The sequence below is a fragment of the Homo sapiens genome, chromosome 19, assembly GCF_000001405.40.
Source record: "Homo sapiens chromosome 19, GRCh38.p14 Primary Assembly".
NCBI lineage: Eukaryota > Metazoa > Chordata > Mammalia > Primates > Hominidae > Homo > Homo sapiens.
In genome coordinates this window covers 15,114,981-15,132,191 of record NC_000019.10, presented here as the reverse complement: position 1 = coordinate 15,132,191, position 17,211 = coordinate 15,114,981, and the positions used below count along the sequence as shown (strand labels likewise).

The 17,211-nt window shown below is 52.4% G+C and overlaps 1 protein-coding gene and 1 long non-coding RNA gene across 4 annotated transcripts, besides 5 other annotated features; one reads left to right on the top strand and one right to left on the bottom strand.

Moving 5' to 3' along the window:
* Positions 1 to 6,017: 6,017 nt before the first annotated feature.
* ILVBL-AS1 (ILVBL antisense RNA 1) lies at positions 6,018 to 8,032 on the bottom strand. The gene is made up of 3 exons (NR_186314.1): positions 7,967 to 8,032; positions 7,687 to 7,728; positions 6,018 to 6,265 (listed from the first exon to the last, which is right to left on the bottom strand). It is a non-coding gene; the product is annotated as an ILVBL antisense RNA 1 (long non-coding RNA).
* Positions 6,137 to 6,900: an enhancer, noted in NCBI's record as "H3K27ac-H3K4me1 hESC enhancer chr19:15236103-15236866 (GRCh37/hg19 assembly coordinates)". NCBI's record gives its function as "activates a minimal SCP1, AML or CMV promoter by ChIP-STARR-seq in primed H9 embryonic stem cells {active_cell/tissue: H9 hESC(primed)}" and the evidence as "EXISTENCE:reporter gene assay evidence [ECO:0000049][PMID:30033119]".
* Positions 6,263 to 6,332: a silencer, noted in NCBI's record as "silent region_10266". NCBI's record gives its function as "represses an Ori minimal core promoter by ATAC-STARR-seq in GM12878 lymphoblastoid cells {active_cell/tissue: GM12878}" and the evidence as "EXISTENCE:reporter gene assay evidence [ECO:0000049][PMID:35858748]".
* HACL2 (2-hydroxyacyl-CoA lyase 2) lies at positions 6,406 to 17,205 on the top strand. Of its 3 annotated transcripts, none has more exons than NM_006844.5 (16): positions 6,406 to 6,536; positions 7,123 to 7,267; positions 8,616 to 8,817; positions 8,949 to 9,076; positions 9,162 to 9,300; positions 9,388 to 9,499; positions 12,111 to 12,210; positions 12,677 to 12,774; positions 12,890 to 13,026; positions 14,177 to 14,311; positions 15,670 to 15,784; positions 15,871 to 16,040; positions 16,121 to 16,191; positions 16,271 to 16,342; positions 16,521 to 16,626; positions 16,762 to 17,205. In NM_006844.5, the coding sequence occupies exons 2-16, from the start codon at positions 7,133 to 7,135 to the stop codon at positions 16,938 to 16,940; spliced, it is 1,899 nt and encodes a 632-aa protein (NP_006835.2). In that variant the 5' UTR covers positions 6,406 to 6,536; positions 7,123 to 7,132; the 3' UTR covers positions 16,941 to 17,205. The 3 variants fall into 3 exon arrangements, with proteins under 3 accessions (NP_006835.2, XP_005259774.1, XP_011525953.1); XM_005259717.5 differs by having other exon boundaries at positions 6,406 to 6,812; XM_011527651.3 differs by lacking the exons at positions 6,406 to 6,536; positions 7,123 to 7,267 and adding an exon at positions 7,000 to 7,122.
* Positions 6,553 to 6,642: an enhancer, noted in NCBI's record as "active region_14181". NCBI's record gives its function as "activates an Ori minimal core promoter by ATAC-STARR-seq in GM12878 lymphoblastoid cells {active_cell/tissue: GM12878}" and the evidence as "EXISTENCE:reporter gene assay evidence [ECO:0000049][PMID:35858748]".
* Positions 6,901 to 7,666: an enhancer, noted in NCBI's record as "H3K27ac-H3K4me1 hESC enhancer chr19:15235337-15236102 (GRCh37/hg19 assembly coordinates)". NCBI's record gives its function as "activates a minimal SCP1, AML or CMV promoter by ChIP-STARR-seq in primed H9 embryonic stem cells {active_cell/tissue: H9 hESC(primed)}" and the evidence as "EXISTENCE:reporter gene assay evidence [ECO:0000049][PMID:30033119]".
* Positions 6,903 to 6,952: a silencer, noted in NCBI's record as "silent region_10265". NCBI's record gives its function as "represses an Ori minimal core promoter by ATAC-STARR-seq in GM12878 lymphoblastoid cells {active_cell/tissue: GM12878}" and the evidence as "EXISTENCE:reporter gene assay evidence [ECO:0000049][PMID:35858748]".
* Positions 17,206 to 17,211: the final 6 nt, after the last annotated feature.

Genomic DNA, 17,211 nt, shown 5'->3' with positions numbered 1-17,211 from the left:
GTCTAATATCAAATGCAACTGAAAGGCAAAACTAGGATTCAGCCCCAAGCTGTCAATACTCTTCACAATCTTAGCCAATTCACTGGGAGCCAAGATCCTGCAGTTAGTACTAAAAAAAAAAAAAAAAAACCAAACCCAAAGGAAATGAGGGATAAGAGAAAGGAAAGGAAAGGGAGACAGGAGCGAAGATCTCCTTCCCAGGTAGTCTGATGGGAGCCTCAAGAGAAAAATAAAGGTTTTTTTGTTTGTTTGTTTTGTTTTTGAGACGGAGTTTCACTCTTGTTGCCGTGGAGTGCAATGGCACAATCTCAGCTCATTGCTACCTCCGCCTCCCAGGTTCAAGCGATTCTGCTGCCTCAGCTTCCTGAGTAGCTGGGATTGTAGGCACCCGCCACCACAGTCAGCTAATTTTTTGTATTTTTTAGTAGAGACGGGGTTTCACTATGTTGGCCAGGCTGGTCTCGAACTCCTGACCTCAGGCGATCCACCCGCCTCAGCCTCCTAAAGTGCTGGGATTACAGGCGTGAGCCACTGCGCCCCACTGAGAAAAATAAAGTTTTAGAACAATTTCTAGATTCTGTGTATTTATGATTAGCTAATATAACTTTCTCTCTAGGAAGGAAATAATAATTATTAAGGGAATAATAATTCTTATACTATGTTCCATTAGGCATGACTAAAGAGGTCCATATTTTGGAGGATGACTCTCTTCTCTGCCAATGATAATTGCCTTTCTTTTTATAATACATAAAGTATAATATCGAATAAATGCTTATTACATTGCTGAGTAGTATTCCATGGAATGGATGTGCCGTAGGACATTTAACCATTCACTTCTCGAGGAGTATTTTGGTTTTTTCAGTTTTTGGCTATTACCAAAAAGCTTCTGTGGGTCAGCTCATCCCAGGATGTTGGATTTCAATTTCAATTTTTCTTTTTTCGAGACAGAGACTTGCTCTGTCGCCCAGGCTGGAGTGCAGTGGCGTGATCTCAGCTCATTGCAACCTCTGCCTCCCAGGTTTAAGCGAATCTCCTGCTCCAGCCTCTTGAGTTGCTGGGATTACAGGCGTGTGCCACCAGGCCTGGCTAATTTTTGTATTTTTGGTAGAGACAGGGTTTCACCATGTTGGTCAGGCTGGTGTCGAACTCCTAACTTCAAGTGATCTGCCTGCCTCGGGTTTCCAAAGTGCTGGGATTACAGGCGTGAACCCCTGTGCCTGGCCTCAATATTTCTTTTTTTGAGAAAAGGTCTTGCTGTGTTGCCCAGGCTGGAGTGCAGTGGTGTGATCATAGTTCACCACAGCCTCAAACTCCTGGGCTCAAGCAACATCTCAGCCTCCCAAGTAGCTGGGGCTACAGGTGCGCACCACCACACCTGGCTAATTTTAAAATTTTTTTGTAGAAACGGAATCTTTCTAAGTTGCTCAGGCTGGTCTCAAACTCTTAAGTGATCCTCCCACCTTGGCTCCGCCAAAGTGTTGGGATTACAGGCATGAGCACCCAGCCTCATTTTCAATTTTAAGGGGCATGTTAAGCACATTGAAAGTTGTGTAGGATGACTCCATTTTTCTTTTTAAATTTTGGGAATCTGTTCATTTATAAATTACTGACAACTCCTTTAGTAATGTTTTCGTGGTTTCTGTGGATGGTTAATTTTCCCCAGTGGTGAGAGCTTGTTGGTTTTCATTTATTTGCTTGAGTGGATGGAAATACCGGTTCCATCACTCCCTGTTAGGCATTACCTCCTACAGGTGTGGAGGCCGGTATGACTCACACCTCATGACGACGGTTGGAAGCCTACGTGATGCTGTCCTTGGCTCAAGGAGATGAAAGCCAGGATTAGGGGCCTGCATCAGTTTAGAAGGAGCTCTAAGTGCCTTAGGAGCCTTCTCGAAGGCTGTAGGAGCGTTTAGAAACACAGGGATTTCATGCCCACCGGGAAGAGTCAGGAAATCTGGGAACCAGTTTAGTACTGAACCACTTGCTGAGACTTGCAGAGATCACCCCGCTCTGTGTCTCACAAGTCATCAAAGAGAGGACTTGACATTGATGATCGCTTCCCTCTGTGACATTTCCAGACTCTATACTTACTTCGAAACTCATAAAAATAAGCATTGACAAGGATATGAGGGTGTGGTAAGCGCATTGCTTCCCCAGACTTGAAACACTTAACAGCAGCGTTTCCTGCGAGTAACATCAAAGACACCTTTGAATTGCACAGGCAGAAATTGAGTCCCTTTTCCAGTTCTCTTTCAAATCTTCTGGTTACTTCAAGGGATCACTTTGGTTTGGTGCCAGTGTGTCTTTAAACAATTCTATTTATTTATGGACGGTGTGTGTGTGCATATAATTATCTATTTATTTACACATATATGTATAAAATTATATGTACGTAATTTTAGTTTTTAAAGGATCATGCAGTAAAATTGAAATTTTTAGAGTTCAGTTCAATAAAAATTTTAACATAGGTAACCACTATCATAATTAGAATTTTAACACATGCAGCCACCATAATACAAAACAGTTCTATCACCCCCAAAACCTTCTATGCTACCCCCTTTATTCTAACACCCTTCCCTAACCCCTGGCAACACTGATCTTTCCTCCCATAGTATGGTTTTGTCACTTTTGGAGAATATCATATAAATGGATCATATTAATGGTACCTTTGAAATTGGCTTCTTTCTTTTTGTTTTGAGACGGAGTTTTGCTCTTGTTGCTCAGGCTGGAGTGCAATGGCACAATCTTGGCTCACTGCAAACTCTGTCTCCTGGGTTCAAGTGATCCTCCTGCCCCAGCCTCCTGAGTAGCTGGGATTATAGGCGCCCACCACGACACCTGGCTAATTTTTTATGTTTTTTGTAGAGACGGGGTTTCACCATGTTGGTCAGGGTGGTCTCGAACTCCTGACCTCAGGTCATCCACCCGCCTCCGCCTTCCAAAGTGCTGGGATTACAGGCATGAGCCCCACGCCCGGCCAAGATTGGCTTCTTTCAATCAGGCTACTTATTTTGAGATTCATCCAAAGTGTTGCGTGCTTCTTTGCTTTTCTGTTTTGTTGTATTTTATGTTTTTAGCAAGACAGAGGGTCTTGCTCTGTCTCCCAGACTGGAGTGCAGTTGCACAATCATGGCTCACTGCAGCCTCAAACTCCTGGGCTCAAGAGATCTTCCTGCTTCAGCCTCCAGTATCTGGGACTACAGCTGCATGCCACCATGCCTGACTACATACATATATATATATATTTTTTTTTTAGATGGAGTCTCGCTTTATTACCCAGGCTGGAGTACAATGCCACGATCTCAGCTCACTGCAACCTCTGCCTCCCGGGTTCAAGTGATTCTCCTGCCTCAGCCTCCTGAGTAGCTGGGATTACAGGCACCCACCACCATGCCCAGCTAGTTTTTTATATTTTTAGTAGAGCGGGGTTTCACCATGTTGGTCTGGCTGGTCTTGAACACCTGACCTCAGGTGATCCACCCGCCTCAGCCTCCCAAAGTGCTGGGATTACAAGCGTGAGCCACTGCACCTGGCCTGTCGTGTTTTAGTAGTTTGCCCTCTTTATTGCTGAGCAGTGTTTCATGGTATGGGTGAATCACAGTTTGTTTAACCATTCCTCTCTTAAGGGATATTTTTTTTGTTGTTTTTTGTTATTTTTTCCAGTTTTCAGCTATTGCAACTAAAGCACCTATGAATAATCATGTGCAGATTGTGTGTGGTTGCATATTGTTCAAAATCCTCTCTGGCTTTCCAATTCACTTAGAATAAAATTTGCAGTCCTCATGCAGTCTGTAAAATCATACCTGTCTGGCCTTTGTCCAGCCTTTGATAGCGTCTCCTCCCTGCCTCCTCTGCTCTCTTCCTTCTAGCTATCCTGGCTTTCCTGACTTTCTCTGCACATGCAAAGCCCATCCCATTTGTAATGAGTTGAATGACAGACCCTAAAATGTACATTCAGAACGTGCAAATGTGACCTAACTTGGAAAATGTGTTTTTGCAGAAGTAGTTAAGTGAGGGGTCTCAAGATGAGCCTATCCTGGATGAGGGTGGTCCCTAAATGCAATGACAAGTATCCTTGTAAGACGTAGAGGAGGAGGGCCGGGCCCGATGGCTCATGCCTGTAATCCCAGCACTTTGGGAGGCTGAGGCAGGCGGATTGCCTGAGGTCAGGAGTTCGAGACCACTCTGGTGAATATGGTGAAACCCCATCTCTACTAAAAATACAAAAAAATTTAGCCGGGTGTTGTGGTGTGTGCCTGTAATCCCAGCTACTCAGGAGGCTGAGGCAGGAGAATTGCCTGAACCTAGGAGGTGGAGGTTACAGCGAGCCGAGATTGCGCCACTGCACTCCAGCCTGGGCGAAAGAGTGAGACTCCGTCTCAAAAAAAAAAAAAAAAAAGATACAGAAGGAGATGCAGGCACAGGGAATAAGGCCATCTGAAGATATACGGAGAAATTGGAGTGACGCAGCCATAAGCCAAAGAATGCCTGGAGCCTCTTGAAGTTGGAGAAGGTAAGGATCCTCCCCAAAGATCTCGAGAGAGTGTATGGCCCCACTGATGCCTCCATGCTGAATTTCTGGCCTCCCGAAGTGTAAGAGAATTAATTCCTGTTGTTTCAAGCCACCCAATTTGTGGTAATGTGTTATGGCCATCAAAGGAAATTAATAAAACACCTCAGGGCCTTTGCATGTGCCATCTTCTCTACCTGGATTACTCTTTCTCCAGATCCTTGTGGGGCCCATGTCCTCACTTCCTCCTGGTCTCTCTGCTCAACTGTCACCTCCTTAGAGAGTCCTTCTGCTTGTCCTAAGAGAGGCCCTTACTGTATCCCTCTAACTCAATAATTTGTTGCACTTCTCTTTAAATTTCGATCAATTTAGATACATGGTATTTGTTTCCTCCCCTGCCCCACACCCACCCCCTTTTTTTTAGAGACAGGGTCTTGCTCTGTTGCCCCAGCTGGAGTGCAGTGGCACGATCACAGCTCACTGTAGACACAACCTCTTGGGTTCAAGCAATCCTCCCTTCTCAACCTCCCAAGCAAAAGGGATAACAAGCACGTGCCACCATACTCAGCTAATTTTTTTTCTTTTAAAAAAAATTTTTTTTAGACAGAGTCTTGCTCTGTTTCCCAGGCTGGAGTGCAATGGCGTGATCTCAGCTCACCGCAACCTCCACCTCCCGGGTTCAAGCGATTCTCCTGGCTAAGTTTGTTTGTTTGTTTGTTTTTTGGAGAGACTGGGTCTCACTTTTTGGCCCCGGTTGGTCTCAAATTCCTGGCCTCAAGCGATCCTCCTGTCTTGGCCTCCCAAAGTGCTGGGATTACACACATGGACCACCATGCCAGGCTTGTTTCCCTTTTTAAAAAAATCACTTGTCCTCTGTGTATATTTGTTTCAGGGACTGTTGAATAATCCAGCTTTCGGCTGAGAAGCTTTTTGGACATTTGCCTAGTGACAATCTTTCTTTATCTGGGGAGAGATTGGTCAGATAATTAGTCTTGGAGCATGTTAAAGCTTTGTCTCCCAAGAAAGAATTTACATCTATTACAACATCTTTCTCTCTCTCTGGAAAATTGTATCCTTGTTATTAAGACTTTTTTTTTCTTTTTTAGCTTTACAGAAAAGCTGCAAAGATAGCAAGATAATTTTTGTCTACTCTTTATCCAGCTTCCCTGAATGCTAACATCTTATATAACCATAATACATTTACTGAAACAAAAAGATTAACACTGGTTCATTACTACTAACTCAACTCCAAACTTTATTTGGATTTCACCAACTTTATCCACAAATTTGTCCTTTTTTTGATTCCTGGATCCAGTCCAGGGTACTATATTGAATTTAGTTGTCACAGCTCCTTTCCCTCCTCTAGTCTGTGGCAGTGCCTCAGTCTTTGTTTTTCATGACCTTGACAGTTTTGTAGAGGTCTGGTTAGGCATTTTGTAGAATGTGACTCAGTGTGAATTTCCTTTGCTTACTACTATACCTATTATACAAAAAATATACACATATATATATATACATGCACAAATATTTATTTATAGTGTGGAAAATATACATAACATAAAATTTACCATTTTTTAAGTATTATTATTATTTTGTGAGACATGGTCTTGCTCTGGTACGGCCCCGCTGGTGTGGAAAGCGAGCTGTGTTCGGAGGGCCTGAACCTACGGGCTTCCACCGTGGGGCCAATGGAAAGCTGCGGAAGGTGGGCCCCCAAAGGTCTGGGCTCCTGAAGCCGCTGAGGGGCGTGGCCTCCTGGTTTTAAAACATAAAATGGGTGTGAGGTCTGCAGTGCGAGCCAATGAAAGGCAAGGGGAGGCGGGGTCTATGAGGGAGGCGGCCAGTAGAGGCAAGGCTCTTTCGGGTGGCCCCGGAGCGGGGCTCCGACTGTGCGCATGCGCATCGGGCCGGACTACGGGGCGCCGCTGAGCCAAGTGGGCCACCCGGGCACGGCCACGCTCCCGGGTCACGTGACACGGAGGGGGCCGAATTCTGCTGGAGGCAGCGCCATATCCTGGAGGTGAAGGTGAATAGCGTCGGGGGTCGAGCTGGTGTGGGAGAACCACATCCTGATGCGATGTGACCTCGACCCAGCCTGGCCCGGGGTCGGGGATCAGGCTCGGGCCCGTGCGCTCTTTAAGGGAGAGGCGTGGGTTGCGTGGAGGGTCGCGCCCGCTAACCCGGGGGCGTGACCTCGTGCCTCTTGGTGACGTAACATGGGGCGGGCTCACTACTGGGGCTGAGATTTGGGGTCCGGTTGTGGAAAGAGAGGCGGGGCTTCCGCCTGTCCATTGACAAGTAGGTAAGTGGAAGATAACTGTGTGGTGCTGTCGTCGCCACCTTGACTTGTGGTGGCTAGTTTGGGTGGGAGTGGTGGTGATGTAAAGGACTGGGGCTAGCCCCGCGAGGGGCGTGACCTTGTCACGGAGAGGCATGGCTTCACCCCGAGCCTAGGCGCACAAAGGGCGTGGTCTGGCAGGGTTGGGGGCGTGGCCGCACAGAAACTGGCGGCAAGGGTCGTGGCCCTGGATCCTGCTGCGAGAAGGGGCGCGATTTCTTCCGGAGAGGTTCCCTGTCGCGCCCAAGTCTGGGAAGTGCCCTTTCTCTCTTAGGTACCACCTCATGGAGACCCCCGCGGCCGCCGCCCCCGCTGGGAGCTTATTCCCCTCCTTCCTGCTCCTGGCCTGCGGGACGCTGGTGGCCGCCTTGCTGGGCGCCGCTCACCGCCTGGGGCTCTTCTATCAGCTGCTGCACAAGGTGCGGGGCACAGAATGGGAGGTGGGCTGGGGGCAGTCAAAGAGGGAGGGGCCTCGTGGTGCTGCTTCCAGCTCACTCATTGTGCAGGGTGGGAAAGCGAGCCCCGACTAGTCCAGAGGGACTGGTAAGAGGTTCTGTCCAGGGCCCTGTCTCCATTGCCACGCTGTGTATGGAGGCCTGGACTTTGCCACTGGTAAGAGAGAACACGGAAGCTGCCGCTGCCGGGGCACTCGCACCCCACCTACCTCCTTCCCCAGTGACTCTTTTCACAGAACAGATGGACAGCACTCTGTGCTCCCTAACCTGGATGGGATAAATGGGGCAGAGGGCAGGCTCCAGCGAGGGGGTGGCAGTGACAGTTTCATAACAGTTGCCCTCTGCTGAGCTCAGTACTGTAGACTTTCTTACCTACCCCTTACCTTTTCCTTGAAAGTAGGTGCTGTTCTTTCTGTCTTCATTTTCTGCAAGAGGAAGCTGAGGCTCAGAGAGATTGTGTGGTGGTTTGCCCTAGGTGACATGTTTGGAGAGAGCTGACCCCACAGGTGTCCCCCTAAACTCCTTGCACCTCTGTTTGAAATTTACCCCTTCTCCAGACCCCTTCCTCAACCCTTTCTCTCCTAGCAGGGACCAAGCTTGACCTCTCCCTCCCCAAACCCTTCTCTACTGCTTCCTCTGCTAGCCAGGAGTGATGCCACTGACCTTCAGGACTTAGGAGATTTAAAGCAAGCCTTGGATGTGTAGGGCTGTGAGGCAGCTGGAGTTGGGAGGCCTCGGCACAGTCTGTGCCAGCAGCTCACTCCCGTGCCAGGCACATGGTGGCTGGCAGCCTGTCAACTAAGCCCTGGGCCTGTTTAGCGTCCATCAGGAGGGCATCAGGGAGGCTGGGATCAGGAGCCCAGCTGCCAGGCTCTGCAAGGATACTGGAGGGCAGGGAGGAGTCACAGCAGATGGCTCCCTGCCATCTGCTCTGCGTGCGTTGTGCCCCTGGCCAAACCCCCTGGGTTATATAACCCTCTCCTCTCTCCCTGATTGCCCTGCCATCCTGGAGACAGGCAGTGTAACAGTGGGGCACTTAAGAGCGTGGGTTCTATTGAACTTTCAGTCTTACTTGGGCAAGCCTTGATGTCCTCAGCTGTAAGAGGGATGTAATGACAAGAGGATCTGATAAGATGTTATGCCTTGGTTTGAGCCTGGCATGTAGTATAATATATGCCTAACCAAGACCAAGCTTCTCTTGACCTCTCACCCTGCTCCTGCCCCCTTACCTGGGGCAGGGGGATTGCCCCCTTTCCCAGCTGCCCTCTGCCCTGGCCTTTAACTTTATTGCTCCACCTGTCCTTGGGCCCAGGTGGACAAGGCAAGCGTCCGGCATGGCGGAGAGAACGTGGCCGCTGTGCTGAGGGCCCATGGTGTGCGGTTCATCTTCACGCTGGTCGGTGGGCACATTTCCCCGCTGCTGGTGGCCTGTGAGAAACTGGGCATCCGTGTGGTGGACACACGCCATGAGGTCACGGCCGTCTTTGCTGCTGATGCTATGGCCCGCCTGTCCGGTGAGGGCATTGCAGAGAGGGCTGGGGACTGGTTGGACTGTGGGCTAGAGTGTCTGTGAGGGTAGGGGTTTTTCAGAGGTGGAAGAATGGCCAAGAGAGTGGGCATGGCTGTGATGGGCTCTGTGTTCCAGGGACGGTGGGCGTGGCGGCAGTGACAGCAGGCCCTGGCCTCACCAACACGGTGACTGCGGTGAAGAATGCTCAGATGGCTCAGTCCCCAATCCTGCTTCTGGGTGGGGCTGCCAGCACTCTGCTGCAGGTACCCAGTCCTTGGGGGCCAGTGGGGGCCTAGGGGGGCTTGAAGGGCTCATGCGATAACCCTGCCACACCTCTGTCTTTGCCAGAACCGGGGTGCGCTCCAGGCTGTTGATCAGCTGTCCCTTTTCCGGCCACTCTGTAAGTTTTGTGTGTCTGTGCGGAGGGTGCGGGACATTGTGCCCACCCTGAGGGCCGCGATGGCTGCCGCCCAGTCGGGCACCCCAGGTAGGTGGAGGATGGTGATGCTGAGCAGTGCTGGGGCCGAGGGGCTGGGGACATGTTATGGACTCAGCGTCCTCCCTGTCCCTGCAGGTCCGGTGTTTGTGGAGCTGCCCGTTGACGTGCTGTACCCCTACTTCATGGTCCAGAAGGAGATGGTGCCAGCCAAGCCACCCAAGGGCCTCGTGGGCCGAGTGGTCTCCTGGTGAATAGCCCCACCCCTGCCATTCCCTCCTTTATCCCCCGTTCTCTCCTGCAGCTTCCAGCCCACACCCATCCTCCTTTGATTCACATGTGGACTGGGAGGAGACAGCTGGGGGGAGAGCATTCCAGGTAGAAGGAACAGCATGTGCAAAGGTCCTGAGGCAGGAATGAACTGGGTGGGTAGGGAAAGCAAGGCGGCCCTCGTGGAGGCAGCAAAGGGGAGAGGCTCAGGACAGCCCTCCTCCTCCTCCTTTTCCCTTTCTTCTCCTCCTCCATCATCTCTTCTTCCTCCTCTTCCTCCTCCCTCTTCCTTCCTCTTCTCCTCCCTTTCCCCCACCACCTTTCCCATCGTCCTCTCCGTTTTCCTCCTCCTAAAGGATGATCCTTGAACCTCGGAAGGGAGGTTCATTCTTACATTTACAGAGGAGGAAGCTCAGAAAGGTGAAGTCACTTGCCCAAAGTCACACAGCTAAGAAGTGGCAGAGCCCAGGCCGGGTGCGGTGGCTCTCACTTGTAATCCCAGCACATTGGGAGGCCGAGGTGGGCAGATCACGAGGTCAGGAGATCGAGACCATCCTGGCTAACATGGTGAAACCCCATCTCTACTAAAAATACAAAAAAAAAAAAAATTAGCCGGGCGTGGTGGCGGGCGCCTGTAGTCCCAGCTACTTGGGAGGCTGCGGCAGGAGAATGGCGTGAACCCAGGAGGTGGAGCTTGCAGTGAGCCAAGATCGTGCTACTGCACTCCAGCCTGGGTGACAGAGCAAGACTCCGTCTCAAAAAAAAAAAAAAAAGTGGCAGAGCCCAGACTCGAGCCCTCTCCTTCCTCCTCCTTTCCTTCCCTCACATCTTTGTCCTTTTCTTTCTTTTTTTTTTTTTTTGAAACAGATTCTTCGTTCTGTTGCCTAGGCTTGAGTGCAGTGGCGTGATCTCGGCTCACTGCAACCTCCGCCTCCCCCTGGGTTCAAGTGATTTTCCTGCCTCAGCCTTCTGAGTAGCTGGGACTACAGGCGCCCGCCACCACACCTGGCTAATACTTGTATTTTTAGTAGAGACGAGGTTTCATCATGTTGGCCAGGCTGGTCTTGAACTCTTAACCTCAAGTGATCCACCCTCCTCGGCCTCTCAAACATTACAGACATGAGCCACTGCGCCTGGCCTCTTCTCTTCTTCTTCTTCCTTTCCTTTCTTCTCCTCCTCCTCTTCCTCTTCTTCCTCCTTCTCTCCCTTCCCCTCAGTCCCTTCCCTTTGCCTGTCCTTGGCCCTTCCTTTCCATACATTTAGCGAGCGGCAGCCATGTGCCAGGTTCCAGGACAGGCACGGGGCATCATCAGTGGACAAGGTAGTCAGGCTCCTGTACTCCGGATGTGTGTGAAGCGCCTGAGGGTCAGCTCAGGCAGTAGTGATTTTGTTCTATGGCCTCTTTATTTTTTTTGAGACGGAGTCTCGCTTTGTCCCCCAGGTTGGAGCGCAGTAGTGCGATCTTGGCTCACTGCAACCTCCACCTCCCGGGTTCAAGTGATTCTCCTGCCTCAGCCCCCGGAGTAGCTGGGAATACAGGTGCAGTCCACCATACCCAGCTAATTTTTGTATTTTTAGTAGAGATGAGGTTTCACCATTTTGGTCATATAGCCTCATTCTTAATGCACTTTGCCCCCTGGCTTCCCAGTCAGTCCCTCCCCTTGTTCTCCTTGCCCCTCTCTCTTGGGCTGCCTCTCACAAGGCTATCTCTTATCTTGCCTTTTTTGTTTTGTTTTGTTTTGAGACAGGGCCTCACTCTATCACCCAGGCTGGAGTGCAGTGGTATGATCATAGCTCACCACAGCCTTGAACTCCTGGCCTCGAGCAATCCTCCTGCCTCAGCCTCCCTTGCCTTTTCTTTACTTGCGGGGCTTCCCACGGTTCCATCCTGGGCTGCTTCTGTGCTGTCTTGGCCTGTCCTTAACGGTGAAAGCAGAGGCTTCTGACTCTGAGCTCCGACTGTTTCCTGCCAATGCCCATGTGTCTGTCTTTCGCTGGATAGAGCGCCCCCTGAGGGGAGGGCTGGGCAGGATCTATCTTTGTGTCTCCAGGGCCCTGCACAGGTCCTTCAGGAAAGTTGGGGCCCTGGGGCCCAGTGAGCAAGGAGACCGAGAAGACCCTGTTTGAAGCAGGAGAGGACAGTGTTCAGAACTCCCATGCAAAGCGCCTCATGTCCTAAGTGGACAGATCCTTGAACCTGGGGAGGGAGGTTCATATTTACATTGACAGAGGTGGAAGCTCAGAAGGGTGAAGTCACTTGCCCTAAGTTGCACAGCTAGGAAGTGACAGAGCCAGGACTTGAGCTCACATCTGTTGGACCCACAGGCTTAATCCTGGCATGCTGAGCCTGCGTTCCTTGCTTCTGGGGGGCTACGTGGAGTTGGGGTGGACCCCAGAGGCTACCGAGGGCAAACAGGCAGTTGAAGACCTGGCCACTAGGGTTCGTCTGTCCCTGAGGTGTCACTCATCCACCCTGTCCCCATGCCACTTTGCTCCTGGCTTTTCTCCCGGCCCCTTTCCTTGCTCAGATCCTGGAATCCTTGTAGTTAGTTAATTCTGGCAACTTGGTTTCTTCCCCCTCCCTTTTGCAGGTATTTAGAGAATTACCTGGCCAACCTCTTTGCAGGAGCCTGGGAGCCTCAGCCCGAGGGACCGCTGCCCCTGGACATCCCCCAGGCTTCCCCGCAGCAGGTGAATTGCCTCTCTTTTGTGTCTGAGGACCCTACCCTCTCCCTGAGGGGAGAGGGCCCCCTGACCCTCTCCCTGAGTCAGTACTGGGGCCTTAATCTTGGGTGCTCATGGCGACTCAAGGGCGGCCCTTTGGCTGGACGCGGTGGCTCACAGCAGCAATCCCAACACTTAGGGAGGCCGAGGCAGGCGGATCACTTGAGGCCAGGAGTTCAAGACTAGCCTGGCCAACATGGTGAAACCCTGTCTCTACTGAAAATACAAAAGTTAGCCAGGCATGGTGGCACGCGCCTGTAATCCCAGCTACTCTGGAGGCTGAGGCGGGAGAATCGTTTGAACCTGGGAGGTGGAGGCTGCAGTGAGCTGAGATCATGCCATTACACTCTATCCTGGGCAACAGAGTGAAACTGTGTCTCAAAAAAATAAATAAATAAAAAGACAGCCCTTTGATCCCCACCTCTCGCTCCAGGTTCAGCGCTGTGTGGAGATCCTGAGCCGGGCCAAGAGGCCTCTGATGGTGCTGGGGAGTCAGGCCCTGCTCACCCCAACGTCTGCCGACAAGCTTCGGTGAGAAGCGCCAGCCCTGCCCTTGTTTTCACGTTCCCAGTCCCCAGTCCTCGGGTGCTCTTGGGGAGGCGGGAGGCCCCGGCCACACTGACCTCTGCTCTGCCTGGACTCCCAGGGCTGCCGTGGAGACCTTGGGTGTTCCCTGCTTCCTTGGAGGGATGGCACGGGGGCTGTTAGGCCGCAACCACCCCCTCCACATCCGGGAGAACCGCAGTGCGGCCCTGAAGAAGGCGGATGTCATTGTCCTAGCAGGTGGGCCTGAGCCTCTTCCTTTCCCTCCTTCCCCCAGGAACCCCCTCACCCTGTTACCCAGCTTCACACGAAGGAGGAGGAAGGTCTAGTGGGCACCTATTGTACTTGATACACATTTTCACATAAAGCGCTTTGAACCCAACCAGACGCATAATAGGTGTATCAGATAGCTACTGCCCTGTAACAACCATCCCCAAACTCAATGGCTAAAAATGCATTTCTGATTTCTCAAGATCCACCTATAAGGTAGGTGGTAGCTGTGGTTTTGGCTGGGCTCATTCATGAGTCTGCACTTGGGTTAGGCAGGAAGGCAGCTGTGCTGATCCAGGCTGGGCTTGCTCACCTGTATGGGGATTGGCTGGCCCTGCAGCTCGTCTGGGATGGCCTCAGCTGGGGTCATAGAGTTCTTCACCCCTGTCTCCATGGCCCCCTTGTTTCTCATCCTCCAGTAGGCTAGCCTGGGCTGGCCGACTTGGTGAAGGATGAGAAAACTATGGGGCTAGGAGAGTGCGGTTATTCAAGAGAGTGAGTGGAGGCTGTGTGGCTTCTTGAAGTAGAGTCTGCAGGAATGGGGGGTGGGGGTCCTGAATCATCTGGAGGTGTCTTCACTCAGAGGTCTTGCAATTGACGCCAGCTGTTGGAGGGGCTGTGGACTAGGGCAACTACACAGGTCTCTATGTGTGGCTCCGGTTTCCTCCCAGCATGATGGCCTCAGGGTAGTCAGACTTCTTAGACAGAGAGCACATTCCTTGGCCCCACCCAGGCCTCTAAAAGTGAACAAGGAAGAAACTGCATATCTTCCTTGTTGGGTGTCATGGTGTGTCACTTTCAAGGAAAGGGGACCTAGGCTGCACCTCTCTCCATGGGAGGCATGTCAAGGTGACCTTGTACAAATGGATGTAGGGTGGGAGATATTATGGCCATCTGGGAAAATATAACCTGCCTCTGCCCTATCCTGTTGGCCAAAGCATGTCATGAGGCCAGTCCCGATTCAGGGGGTGTGGGGAGCTGCAAGGTCACTGTAGGTGGCACAGGTGCAGGGAGACTCGGTGAGGAACAGGGACTCATTTGCATCCAGTCCACCACAGTGGATCAAGTAAGGTAGACGACATGGGGCCTCTGCCTACTGCATTCCTGTCCCCCACACCAGGAACTGTGTGTGACTTCCGCCTATCCTATGGCCGTGTCCTCAGCCACAGCAGCAAGATCATCATCGTCAATCGTAATCGGGAAGAGATGTTGCTCAACTCAGACATCTTCTGGAAGCCCCAGGAGGCTGTGCAGGGTGAGCCCCTTAATCCCCCCGTACACATATGTGCTCCTCCCAGTCCCTCTCCTCCTGGTTTCTGCTGCAGCTGGCTTGAGCCTGGTACAGTGATTGAGGCCCAGACCTTGCCCTAGGGGTAGCCAGTCAACCAGAGACAAATAGTTGGCTCTCAAACTGATGAATGCTTCTTTCTTTAAATTTTTTTTATTTTTATTTTTTAGAGACGAGGTCTCGCTCTGTCACCCAGGCTGGAATGCAGTAGTGCAATCACAGCTCACTGCACCCTCAAACTCCCAGGCTCAAAAGCAATCCTCCCACCTCAGCCTCCTGAGTAGCTGGGACTACAAGTATGCACCACCATGCCAGGCTAATTTGTTAATTTTTTTTTGTGGAATCAGCATCTCACTGTGTTGCCCAGGTTGGCGTGGAACTCCTGGCCTCAAGTGATCCTCCTGCCTCGGCCTCTCAAAAGTGCTGGGATTACAGACCAGAGCTACTGCGCCCGGCCTGATAGATGCTTCTGTAGGAACAAATGGTGGGGTGGACACAGAGGGAGGCTTGAAAACGTGCATGTGATCACGTTCCCTCCCACACTGCCCACTGCCCTCAGGACAGAGAGCACACTCGTTGGCCCCTTAGCCTGTCTTCCTGCCGTATCTCTCCCCTCCCCTTATTTTAGTCCCCTTGGACTTGAACTTGGTTCATCATTCTGAGGATGTTGACTCCCCTGCAGCCTAGGCGACAGGACACTCTTGTATTAAGCAGAGAAGTAGCACCGTTGCATCTGTGTTGGGAAGGTCCACTCAGCAGCCATGGACGGCAGGCCGGAAGGGGGCTGGGTGGAGGCCAGGGGGGCTGCTCAAAATGGCCAGGACAGAAGCGAGGAGGCCTGAACTGGAGATGAACAGCGGCAGAGCCTCACCTTCTCAGAGCCTCCATTTGATCATTTGAAAAATGGGGTGGTGAAAGATACATCACGGGGCTGTTTGTTAGTTCACTTCAGTAACGTTCGCTGTGCGCTTCCACGTGCCTGGATTTGAGAGATGTGCTTGGTGGATGTAGCTCTTTTCATTGAGTGTTTCCCAGGCAGAAGGAGGTGGAGGGAGGGGACGAGGCCAGCTTGGGTTTGTCACCTGCCTTGTGCTCCTTAACCCTTGTTTCTTGGGCCTTGTCTTCCCTTTTCACCTGGGCTGCCCTCCCCTGGTTCTGGCAGGTTCTGGGGTGTTTCACCTGTTTTTTTTCTAGGAGCACCCCTGGCCTGCTTCCCGTCTGCCTGCTCGGATGCTGCTGCTGGCTTCCTGCTGTTTTGAGGCCTCTGATGCTGGAAGAACAGGAGGAAGCCAGCTCCCCACAGCTGTGTCCTCTTCCTTCCCCAGGAGATGTGGGTTCCTTCGTGCTGAAGTTAGTGGAGGGCCTTCAGGGCCAGACCTGGGCCCCAGACTGGGTGGAGGAGCTGCGGGAAGCCGACCGGCAGAAGGAGCAGACCTTTCGGTGGGGCCTGGGTGGAGTGGATGTGGGAAGGGGGTTCCCGGCAGACCCTGCTGCCAACCCTGGTGACCTTCGCTGTCCTGTCGCAGGGAGAAGGCAGCGATGCCTGTGGCCCAGCACCTGAACCCAGTGCAGGTGCTGCAGCTGGTGGAGGAAACGCTACCTGACAACTCAATTCTGGTGGTGGATGGCGGGGACTTCGTGGGCACTGCTGCCCATCTGGTACAGCCCCGCGGCCCCCTGCGCTGGCTCGATCCTGGTAAGGAAGGGCCCCCGCCTGGGGCAGTGGGCACCATCCATCAGGACGCCTTCACACCCACCTGCTCTTGGTCCTCTTAGGGGCCTTTGGGACTCTGGGAGTTGGTGCAGGATTTGCACTTGGGGCCAAGCTGTGCCGGCCAGATGCTGAGGTGAGGCACTGGAGTTGGGAGACTTGCTGCTCTCTAGGTCCTGATCCACCCTAACCATCCTGGGTCCCCTCCCGACTAGGTCTGGTGCCTGTTTGGGGACGGAGCTTTTGGCTACAGCCTCATCGAATTTGATACATTCGTCAGACACAAGGTGACTGGGCTGGCCTGAGGGAAGCTTAGGGCCTGGGGTTCTGGGAGATGTCACCAGGGGTGGGCTGAGGTGGGGAGGGAGCCTCCTCTCTGGCAGAGGCCCTATCCCTGTCTCTGTCCTCTGGCTGGCCAAGCCATGGGGCTGAAGGCTGCGGCCTGCCTTCATCATCTTCCTGTAGATCCCAGTGATGGCCTTGGTAGGGAATGATGCTGGCTGGACACAGATTTCTCGGGAGCAGGTGCCCTCTCTGGGCAGCAACGTGGCCTGTGGCCTGGCCTACACTGGTGAGGGGGCCTCAGCGAGGTTGGGAGGACAGGAGGCTGTTTCAGTCCCAGCTGGGCTTGTGTTCCTCTCCTGGGCTGGCTGCATGTGCGGTGGGCTGAGTCCTTGCCACTATCCGACTTAATCTCTTCTTTTAGATTATCACAAGGCAGCCATGGGTCTGGGGGCCCGGGGCTTGCTGCTCTCACGGGAGAACGAGGATCAGGTGGTCAAGGTGCTGCACGATGCCCAGCAGCAGTGCCGAGACGGCCACCCGGTTGTGGTCAACATCCTCATTGGGAGGACGGACTTCCGCGATGGCTCCATTGCTGTATAGGGCCTTGTGGGTCAGGACGCTTGGCTGCCTTCCTGCCCCTGGACTGTGTCCAGCTGGTTTGGAGTCTCATCATTGCTTGCCCTGGGCCTATCCCATGAGGCCCAGTGACTCCACAACCTCCCTGAGGAGGGGATGGAGGGGTCAAATCTCAGAGAGGCTCTCTTGTGAGCTCTTGGACCCTCCTCTTCACGGACCCAACTGTGCCGTTTGTCCCCTCTCTTATGGAGACTGAATAAACCACCTCTGGCCCATGTAGGCCCAAGTACTCAGT